The sequence below is a fragment of the Homo sapiens genome, chromosome 14 (assembly GCF_000001405.40).
Source record: "Homo sapiens chromosome 14, GRCh38.p14 Primary Assembly".
NCBI classification, from domain to species: Eukaryota; Metazoa; Chordata; class Mammalia; order Primates; family Hominidae; genus Homo; species Homo sapiens.
The window spans coordinates 106,181,784-106,193,647 of NC_000014.9; the positions used below are offsets into that span (position 1 = coordinate 106,181,784).

General features: G+C 41.0%; 1 gene segment (V, D, J or C) and 1 further gene; both read right to left on the minus strand.

Moving 5' to 3' along the window:
- IGH (immunoglobulin heavy locus) overlaps positions 1–11,864 on the minus strand; it is a 1,293,408-nt gene that overhangs the window by 595,347 nt on the left and 686,197 nt on the right.
- Positions 3,116–3,552, minus strand: IGHV1-18 (immunoglobulin heavy variable 1-18). The segment is given in 2 exon segments: positions 3,116–3,422; positions 3,507–3,552. Coding segments are annotated over 2 exon segments (353 nt in total), but the record flags the coding sequence as incomplete, so codon positions are not given.

The following is an 11,864-nucleotide window of genomic DNA, read 5'->3' on the forward strand; positions in this document are numbered from 1 at the left end:
CTGGTGAAGAGGTGATGTGGTGGGCAGGGGAGCAGTATATGTACTGGAAATTGAATTTCAATGTTTTCTTGATGTTTTTTCTCTAGACTGTGCCCTTTACAAGGAGTCTCCAGTGGTGCAGCTGATTTTCCTCCGTCTTCTACTCCCCCCTCCTGGCTGCAGCATCCACATATTATTGTCTTGAACCTGACCTTTTTATGACACAGGAAGGCTAAGATGAAACTGCCTGGGATGGAAAAGAATACCTTCCCCTCACATAGAATAGAGATCTTGAAAAGCATTTTTTCTCTGTAGGATCTGTCTGGAGGAAGTTCTGAGCATATTTATCAGAGAGTAGCTCTCCTGATGACAGAGCCATGAAGGAATCTGTTTGGATTATCATCCTGAGAACCCAGAAGTTTCTGGAGGGAAATTCCATCGAAGTGTGGGGTGTGCAGCCCCCAGGAGTTCTTACCCTATCCCTGTCCACACCTGTCCACCAGCAATTTACCGAATTACCATGTAACTGTTCCCACCAGCTTGCACTTTCAACGGAACAGTCACATAATTTATAAATTTAGAAAGGAGACTTTACTTCTGAGAAATGGTTAAAGCTGCAGGACAGCCACCTTAACAGGCTGGGAAGCAAAGCCTCCCACAGAGACAGTGAGCAGGCACTTCAAGAGAGGGAAAGAGGAGAAATGAATTCATGCAAATGGATTGGCCAAGTGTACACACTCAGCAGGCTATAGAAGGATCTGTTGATGTTCACATAGTGGGCAGGCTGTCATGTCTAATAAGCAAACACACATGTTACATGCATTTAGTGTTTGCTTTGGGGATGAGGACTTAAGAACTAAATGAATGACAATCGGGCCCTGTTCATCAAAAGGGCTTTGTGCAGAGGCAGAAAGACACACACTGCACAGTCTCTGTAAATTGCCAGGACAAGTTCATGGTCAGTAGTCTCTTCTCAGAAGACAGTTACTGAAATCTGTCTCTTGTCCAAACAAAGCTCTATTTATGGCTTGTGGGAGAGGGTCAGTTACCACGTTTGGAGTTCCATGAGCTGCAAATGTTTTAATATGCTTACCTCAGAACCAGTGCTTGTTTAGGTGCTACAGAAAACAAAAAAGCCCTGTGGAAGTTACAGTACAGTCATTTTTTTAAGTGTAGGGGTGAGTGACTTAATCCATGACTTTAGGCCTTGTTTATAATTTGGTATCTTATTGCCACAGAACTTTGATCCATCAGTCTGATTATCTCTATTTTAATGTCTTTCTAGTTTTGGGGGTCCTGGTTTTCCCTGCAATTTCATTTCTTCAACAGATTCAAGAAATTATTGATAATCAATTTTCCAGGCTTTTATTATTGTAAGAATGTGGGTGATGTTTGACATGCTCTTTACATATTAAAGCAGAAACCAGAAGCAGCTTCAGAGATCACCAGTGACCTGATACAAGCAGCAGGAATCTCATCTCATTAAGTGTAAGTGGCACCACACAGATATAGCTGAACATGCAGGGACACAGAAGACCCATTCCACAGGACACCCCCCAAAATTACAGTGAATCTAACGGAATTATAGAAAATCATACATGATGTGCCTCATGACCAAGGTCTCCACTTCTCATCAAAGGACATTCCTTATGGGATTCACCAGAACTTGCTTTCTTTCCATAGACATGGATATACCGCAAAACACTTAGGGACCTTACCCTCTGGGAAGGGATAGTAAATCAGGAGTCACAGAACGTATAGGAAAATATCTGTTTTATGAATCTTCTAAAAAAGAGCCCAAATATGAATAGCCCCACCCACTTTTCCTCTGAACTGGCATCATTCCCAGGAACCCACTTGTAGTGTTATACCCAAACGAGTTAGAGAAAACGCCACACTTTGAGACAAATTAAGAGTCCTTTATTTAAGCCGGCTGCCGAAGAGATGGCTAACGCTCAAAATTCTCTCGGCCCCGAGGAAGGGGCTTGATTAACTTTTATATCTTGGTTTAGGAAGGGGAGGGGAACTCAAATACAATAATTCTACAGAAGTAAAAACATGCAAGAATCAAAAGAAGCAAATGGTTACAGAGAGATAAACAATTTAAAAGACAAATGGTTACAAAAAGCAACGTTACCAGGTGCAGGGCTCTAAATCCTTCATTATAGTTAGATATGATGCTATGCTGGGCATGAACTCAAGGCTTTATGTTGTTATCTCTTTGAGAAAAATCCTGGGAACTTCATACATTGTTTGTTCCAGTACCTTATCAGTTAATTGGGCTCCTTTGAAATGCTGAGGATCTGCTTACACAGGTTAATTCCTTGAAGAAGGGGGTTGGGTAAGGAGCCCTTAATGTCTTATAAATCAAAAGGTCAAATGGAGTTTGCCCAGCTTTCCCAGCCAGGGAGAGTCTATTCATATGGGAAACATGGCTGGCAATTAAGGAGACAAAAAAAGGGAAAATTTAAAGTAGCAAACTAGAGTAAAAAACAAGGTTAGGCATTACAGTAGAACCTATGGTGCTTCAAGATAATTTGGGCTTGGTATGCCAAGAGACCACCAGAAGAGGAAAGAACCAATCCGCCCATGTAAGTTCATCCATTGTAACTTATTGATGACTCTGGGGCAGGATGGTGACAGTGGGAAAGGCTGTGCATGGTGAAGCAGGGGCACATGAGAACTCTCTGCACCTTCTGTCCAATTTTGCTGTGGTCTTAAAACTACTTTTTAATACATTTATGTAAAAGGAGTGGCAGAGACAATTTGGAATAGATTTTGGCCAGTTTTTAGGAATCATATTTAGTCTTAGCCACGTTACCAGCAATCTTGTTCCAAATTATTTATCTATCTGATTTTAAAACGTATGTCTGCACAAGGCCTCCATGGGAATATTTGCGTCAGCCTCACTGATTGCTGCCTTTACCATTCTGAATTTTGCATATAGGGTGACTGTTGAAAGAAACATTTCCTATATAGAGTGCATCCATGTTTCCATTACTCACATTCCTCAATTGCTCAGCTCATTTTCTAAACAACTTTAAACATTGTAAGCCCTGTAATCTCCTCAAATTCAGTGCAGCTGCCTCCTCCCTGGGGTTTCTGAAACCCTCAGGATGTGGGTTTTCACACTGTGTCTCTCGCACAGTAATACACGGCCGTGTCGTCAGATCTCAGGCTCCTCAGCTCCATGTAGGCTGTGCTCGTGGATGTGTCTGTGGTCATGGTGACTCTGCCCTGGAGCTTCTGTGCATAGTTTGTGTTACCATTGTAAGCGCTGATCCATCCCATCCACTCAAGCCCTTGTCCAGGGGCCTGTCGCACCCAGCTGATACCGTAGCTGGTAAAGGTGTAACCAGAAGCCTTGCAGGAGACCTTCACTGAGGCCCCAGGCTTCTTCACCTCAGCTCCAGACTGCACCAGCTGAACCTGGGAGTGGGCACCTGTGGAGAGGACACAGGAGTGGGTGAAGTCTCACATGACTGGCCTGGTTTCTCTCTCAGCCCTGGGACTGGGGAGTCCGTTACCTGTTGCTGCTGCCACCAAGAAAAGGATGCTCCAGGTCCAGTCCATGGTGAGGAGCTGTGATCTAGGGGATTCTCCCAAGGAGGGGTGTGGTTTTTGGGTGATGCTCTCAGGGCACACAGATATCTATATTCACCTCAGTTATTTGCATATTCATGAAGGATGCTATTTAATAGCCCAATTCCTGACCCAGGATGAGAAAGAGCAAATACATGACACATGGACGACACAATTGTAGAAGCTGAGGGTTCAAGCCGTAATCCTGTTAGAGGCCACGCATCCCCTACCCATCCCTGAACTCTGTGTTGACAGAGCTTCCCCCACTGGAGAACAAGCTCCCCCAGGACACGCACCTCACTTAGAACCCACATTTGACTGTCTCAGGGGCAACTCGAATCATTTCTAGACCTTAATATGTGAATGTGCTATTTTGGGAATGAGTGTGTTTCTCCAAAAATTGCACTTATTTATAAGAAAGGATCTCCTCCTGACCTCCAGCTGCTTACTATTAAGATGTCTAGGGAAGTTTGAAATTCCCATTGTAAAAGTGGTTCTCATTACAACATCGAGTTTCATAAATGCTCACAATTGAATAGGATATTTATATAAACATCGGCAGTCCTTGTGAAATACTTATTTTAGATTTTTTAAAGGAAGTCCCAGGCCCTGAGAGGAACCCCTCCCCAGCCTCCTTCACCTGCTCTGGGGCGGAAGCCTGTGCTCTGTGTGTCCTGAGCGCCCCCTGCAGCCCTGCCCTGCCCCTGCAAGGAGGTTCCTGTCTGATCTCACAGAGTATATTCCTACCAGTGTCCCCAGCCAAGTATAAAGTGGCTGTGCCCTGGCTCAGAATTCTCCTTTAGTGACAGCCTGTGCTTCTCACACCATCTTTTGAAATACTGAATTGGCCTTAGGAATCCCAGTGAACTCTGCAGGGAGACCCCAAGAAAGATCTCATGCATCACTGGGGAGCCCTTTCCTGGAGCTCAAGAGGCACTGAATCATTGGACACACGGTGAACCCAAAAACTCTTCAGGGGTTTGGGGGGACTCTTATTTCCTTTAGGGTCCTGCAGTTGATTATGGCACCTGAGAATACCTGCAGGTGTAGGTGGATAGAAGCCCACTCCAACTCTACTATTCAACTCACACGCACACACACACAAACACACACACACAATGTCTGATTTTCACATTAATGGGCCCTATGTTTACCCTATTTTTCTGGTATCCATGTCACGGAAAGCACTCCCTACACTGGCACTAAGGCTGAATATGTGTCTACTTTCTGCAAATAGAAGTAAAGATATCAGAATGCAAGTGGACACTTCGGAAGTGCATGCACAGTGAATTAATTTTTCTCACTTTGGAACCCTGCAGATGCCACAGGAAAAATAAATTTGAGGCCAATAAGGGTGAAATCATTTTCTTTGTGCTGAAGTTCCTGGTATTAGAGGCTTCGAATTCTTCTATTTTCCTTAACATTTTTCTCCTATTTCCTCCTCAGATAGAGTTTGTGCATTGCCACACTCTCGTATTTAATCCATATTGACTAAACTGGTGAGACATAATGTGTGGAACACGGAAGCATTACATGTTCTTACAGCTGAATTTTAATGCTGTGGTGATCTTCTTTCTCTGGGCTGTGACCTATACGGGAAGTCTCCAGAAGTGAAGCTGATTTTTGCTCTTTTCTGGCTGGAGCATCACAGGAAATTTTCTTTAAATTTACATCTATTGGCTAATTTTACCCATTTTCATGATAAAGGAAGGCTGCTAGTATGGGCTTGTAATGGGGATGGATTACCTTTCCCCACATAGATGAGGATCTAAAGATGCCTTTCCCATGGTTTCTGTGTCTGAAGAAAGTCTGGGTGTATTTATTAGAGATTTGGTTTCCTAGAAATAGAGCCATGAAGGGATCTATGTGGATTCTCACCCTGAGAACCTGGAGGTTCCTGGAGGAAAGGGCGATAAGAGTATGGGGGGTGGAGTTCCCAGGATCTCTCACCCTCATGCTAGTCCAGACATGCCATTTATGTTTATATAGTTCAGATTTTCATATAACAAACCACACAGCCAGGCTCATTTAAATTCCCCGTACTCAGTCCAGATTGGAGCAGGAGCTGAGTATAATAATCACGTTGAACTCAGACAAACCTGGGCCAAATCCAATTTTTCCTGTAGCTCAGAGCAGCTTTACTGACTCATTTAACTTGGAGATTATTTCTTCCCTGAAAGAACTGTAAGGGTTGCTGTGGAGCCTCTGTGGGGTTGGAATTTTTTGCATCAGCCTATCCTGTGGGGTATTCTGTATGATGTAGACCTTTATACTTAGATGGTAATTATTCCTAATGGCGTGGAAATGGCTGGCAGCCCTCAATCCTGTTTATTTCTTCTGTTGACCTGAATGTTTACAAGAATCCCATGAACCTCAGGACTCCCCTTCATGGATGACTCTGAAGATTGTAGACTCAGTGCTACAGACAGAGAGAGCTAAGGGAGGATACTCAGTTCACTGATATGTTGGGCCAGCAACATAGGACACATCTGAGAATGAATCACTTTTGTGAATGCCAATAAATATTGAATTCAAGAGTCATGACTTTCAGTATATTGGAGTAAAAATTTTCATGATTCTTGACAATGAGACTCAAACTTCATGGTTTGCAGAATAAATGAGCTCTTCAATGTTAGAAAGAAGCTTCTTTTCCTAAGAAGCTAGTCTTTTAAACTAAAGAGCCAGAGAGGTGGTTTCCTGAGATCTTGTGAAAATTTATCTATTGGAGAAAAATAAAATCAGGAAAACTGGTCTCAAATAATTGAAAGAAAGCTTATAAGAAATTTTTATTAAGACAGCCACAAAACTCCAATTAGTCAAATTTTTTGGTTCATTTGTTACAACTCAAGAAGCAATTCAGAAGTCTACACAATTGGAAGCCTACTCCAACAGAGATAATTTTTCCTGACTTGAAAAACAGACCAGTATTTATAAAGAGACAGTTCCCCATGAGATCTACAACTTACACAGATTTCTGTAACCTGAAGAAGTTTTGCTAAGAGGATTATCCTCTAGATATCTATGTATGGAAAAATATGTTTCATATATTTGTGTAAGATTAATCTGTACCAGCCTTTGGCACATTAAACAAACTTCATGTAAACGTGATAACGTTATCACTTACTGTGCACTCACACTTTACTGGTTTCAGAAGTTCATCGCCCTTGTGATGGAGCAATAAGTTCCTTTGAGAATGTGCTGTTGCTTCAAGTGAACATGTTCTAGATCCTCAGTTGACTTCATCATTTCATATTGAGTGTAGGTGTGTCTATAACTGAAAACCCAACATTTTTATCCAGCAGATTCTCCTTTTATGAGATCATCCTGAAACCTGCCAACAGCCTCCATCATGTATGCTTCCAAACTTTTGCTTTTAGGAAATAAGAGGTAAATTCATAATCCATCCAAGCTTTAAGGTGAGAATCCTTCCTGGCCTTCCATCATATTTAGTAGAAACTCTCATTGAGAGCCATAAGCAAATGCTGTTTATGGATCATAACTCAAAACCAAAATTGTTTTTCATAATGGCTATACCATTCTACATTTCCACAATTATGGAAAGCAACATAAAGCGTCCTAAATTAATTAAAACTGGAGATATTATATGACCAGAAATCCTGTTTCTGGGAGTATACCCAAGTAGATGAAATTACCACCTTGTAAACATATCTGCATCCTATGTTTATTGAAACACTGTTAATAACAGCGAAGATATGGAAACTATCTGATGGTCAGCATACAGACAAATGAATAAAGACAATGTGGTATGTGTATACAATATAATATGGTTTAATGTTATAAAAGAAAGATGCTGCCATTTGCCACAATGGATCAATTTCCATAGCTACTAACAGTGCACACCATCCACTATAGCACCTCCCTAGGGGATGGCAGATCCTTATTCAGTAGTAACCACTGGCTGTGGTGGGAAGGCAATTTTATGTACTGTTGAATTTTTCAGCATAAGACATCGATGTCTTAAAATATTCTGCAGTGTCTGCATGTGATAAAGTGGAGTCTAATATTGGAGGTAAAATTAAAAGTGCATGAGTCTTCTAGACACCAAGTCATAGGATGATCCTGGCTGTGTCCTTGAGGGAGTGGACCATATGTAATAGCATTTGGATTGGGGATTGGTGCATTTCCAGTTGAACGAATAAAGTTGTATTATATTAGGTGTAATTATGACTTTATTATTGTCTTTGTTTGAAGATTATGTATAATCTCAGGAGATGTGTATGGTTTCAAGTTGACGGGGTGGACTTGTAATGCTAAATACTGAGTGTCAACTTGATTAGATTGAAGGGTGCAAAGTATTGATCCCGGGTGGGTCTGTGAGGGTGTTGCCAAAGGAGATTAACTTTTGAGCCAGTGGGCTCAAAAAGGGAGACACACTCTTAATCTGGGTGGTACAATCTCATTAGCTGCCAGTGTGGCCAGAGGGAAAAAAAAACAACAACAACAGAAGAACATGAAACGATTAGACTGGCTTAGCCTTCCAGCCTACATCTTTCTCCCGTGCTGGATGCTTCCTTGTCTCGAACATGGGACTCCAAGTTCTTCAGCTTTGGGACTCGGACTGGCTTCCATGCTCCTCGGCTTGCAAATGGCCTATTGTGGGACCTTGTGATCATACGAGTTAATACTCCTTAATAAACTCTGTGTGTGTGTGTGTGTGTGTGTGTGTGTGTGTATCCTGTGTGCGTATATATATCCTGTTTGTTCTGCCCCTCTAGGGAACCCTGACTAATACAATCTTACTTCAAAAGAATTTTTTTTAAAAATAGGTGATTAGGAATTCCAGGATGGAATGCAGATAACATAGAAAATGTCTAATTCCATTACAAATGTATGAATTCAAAAGAGGTACTAAGTAGATTCAGAAATGGTGTAGGCAATAAGATTAAAGAAAAAAGAAACTTCACATCAGCATTGTACCCCAATTGACGATGTTCCACAAAAGAGCACAACTTACACATCTTGTTACACTCCACAGGAATCTTGGAATTGGACTACAAAGAGAATGGACGGCGTATGGGGAAATGGGGTTCCTTGTGGTTGGAGTGGGAGGTTAGTGTCAGGCATAGAAGGAATGCGATAAACATCCATGTGGTATTAACTTAGGGTGGACATGTCATTTTATTTGCAAGTTTAGCATAATATAGGTACATATATTAGATAAAAATAGTTTAGATGTCTGTGTATATATGGGTTAATACACAACACATACTTCCTAGATTTTTTACCTGAGAATTTCTACAAGAAATGAGTGCACATTAATAAAAAATACACCCAGAATCAAGATTTGAGTTTTTAATACTATTCTTCTATAAAAGAAACCAGTGACCAGGTGCAGTGGCTAACACCTGTAATTCCAGCACTTTAGGAGGCTGAGGTGGGCAGATCTTTTGAGGTCAGGAGTTTGGACCAGCCTGGCCCACATAGCGAAACCCTGTCTCTACTAAAAATACAAAAATTAGCCAGGCACAGTGGCGCATGCCTGTAATCCCAGCTACTTGGGAGGCTGAGACAGGAGAATCGCTTGAACCCAGGAGGTGGAAGTTGCAGTGAGTCTGGACCCTGTCTCAAAAAAAAAAAAAAAAAAAAGGAACCAGCATGTCTTTGAGAAATGGCTAATGCTAGGGCTTCAGAAGAGAATATAGGGATTAGTCTACAATTTCTAATTGTACCAGAAAATGAGAAAGGGTTCCAAAACAGAGAATTGCTCCTTTTGCATTTTTCTTTGTTGACAAATCTAGCTAGCAGTCTAACAATTCTGTTCATGTTTTATTTCTGTTTTTTTCAGTAGAATCAGGGTGTACATGTGCAATTTTGTAACATGAATATATTTCATAAAGGTGAGGTTTGGGCTTCTGGTGTAACTATCGCCCACTAGTGAACATTGGAGCCAGTAGGTGATTTTTTAACCCTCACATTCCTCTCACCTTGCCCTCTTTTGCAGTTCCCAGTGTCTTTTGTTTTTTATGTATGTACATGTGTACCCATTGTTTACTTTCCAATTATAAAAGAGAAGATCTTTTTGAGTTATTTTATTTAGGCTAATGTCCTACAACTCTATTCACGTTGCTGTGAAAGACACTAGGAATGCAGGTGACTTTTTCTGATATAAAAATTTCCTTTTGGGAGGAATATACCCACTGGGAGGGATTACTGGGACAAACGGTAATTCTAATATTAGTTCTTTGAGAAACTTCTGTATTGTTTTTCATAGAGGTTGTACTAATTTATATTTTCACCAAGCATATAAAAAGCATTATTTTTCCTATGCTTCTCTCCAAACACCTGCTGTTTTTTATTTGTAATAACAGCCATTGTGACTGGTGGAAGATGCTATATCATGTTGTTTGTAATTTACATTTATCAGATGATTGGTGATGCTGAGTATGTTTTATTTGTTTTGGCCACGTCTGTGTCTTCTTTTGAGAAATGTCTGGTTTTTGCTCACTCTTTAATGAAGTTATTTGTTATTTCTTGTTGACTTATTTGAGTTCCTTGTAGATTCTATGTATTAGCCCTTTGATGAATAGATTGCAAATTTTTTTTTACTGTTCACAGGTTGTCTGTTCACCATGTTGGTTATTTCTTTTGCTATGCAGACAATCTGTGTTTCAATTAATCCTGTTTGTCTAATTTTGTTTTCATTGCATTTGCTTTTGAAGTCAGTCTTAGTCATATTTTATTTGCTTAGGCAAATGTCTAGAGGATTTTTTTTAGATTTTCTTCAGGAATTTTTATGAGTTTATAAATTTAAACATTGAATCCATATTCACAGTTAATTTGTGTCTATGATGATACAGAAGTCTCATTTTATTCTTCTGCATAAGGCTATCTAATTCTCCCAGCACTACTTATTGAATAGAGGGTTGTTTCTCCAGTGTATATTTTTGTCAGTTTTGTCAAAGAACCGTTGGTTGTAGATATTTGGCTGTATGTCTGGGCTCTTGATTTTTGTTCTACCATTACCACGCTGCCTTTCTTGTTATCTTTGTGTTGTGTAATTTGAAGTCAGGGAATGCGGTACTTCCAGCTTTGTTCTTTTTGCTCAAGATTGCTTTTGCTTTTCAGACCCTTTTTTGGTTCTATATGAATTTTAGGATTTTTAAAAATATGTAATCAATTATATTAGTTACTTGATATAAATTGCATGGACTCTGTATATTGCTTTGGGCAGTGTATTAGTCTATTTTACATTGGTATAGATTAATACCTGAGGCCAAGTGATTTACAAAGACAAGAGGCTTATTTGGCTTACAGATCTGCAGGCTGTGTGAGAAGCATGGCACAAGCATCTGCTTCTTGCGAGGGCCTCAGGAAGCTTACAGTCATGGTGGAAGGCAAAGGGGGAGGAGGCTGTGTCATATGGTGAGGAGGGGGGACATGAGAGGGTAGGAGGGTTGCCAGACTTTTTTGAACAATCAAATCTCACAGTAGCTAATACAGCAAGAATTCACTAATTACCATGGGGTGGATGCCAAGCCAGTCCTGAAAAATCTCCTCATGACCCAAAACCACCCAGTTGGCCCCACCTCCAACATTGTGGGTCACATTTCACCATGACATTTGGAGGGGAAAACCCCTAAATGATATCATTGCACTCTCAGACCCAAAGTTCTCATATTCTTCTTACACTGCAAAATATAATCACCTTTTTTCAATAGTTCCCAAAATGTTAAGTTGATCAACCTCCAACTAAAATGTCCAAAGTCTCATCTGAGTCTTAAGGCAATGTCCCTCCAGCTGTGAGCTTGCAAGTTTAAAAATGAAAGTTGTTTACTTCCAAGGTGCAATGATGGTGCAGGCATTGGGTAAATAATTCCAATCCTAAAGGGATAAATTGGCCAGTGGAACAACCAACAGGCCTCACACACATATAAAACCCAGCACTGCAGATATTAAATCCTAACACTACAAAATAATCTCTCTTGACTTTATGTACTTCAACCAGGGCACACTGGAACAAGGGGTGGGTCCCCAAAACCTCAGGCAGCCAATCCCTATAGGTTTGCTAGGCACAGACCACGGGGCTGCCTTCACAAGTGAGAGTCAAGTGCTGGAAGCTTTTCTAGGCTGAGGGTGCAAGTTGCCTGTAGCTCTACCATTCTAGGGTCTTGAGGGTTGTGGCCACATTCCCACAACTTTACTATGAAGCGCCCTAGTGGGGACTCTGAATGGGGGCTCCAACTCCATCTTTCCCCATCTTTGGCACTGCTCTAGTAGAGGCTTTCTGTGGTGGATCCACTCCTGCAGCAGGCTTCTTCCTGGGCATGCAGGGCTCTCTACAC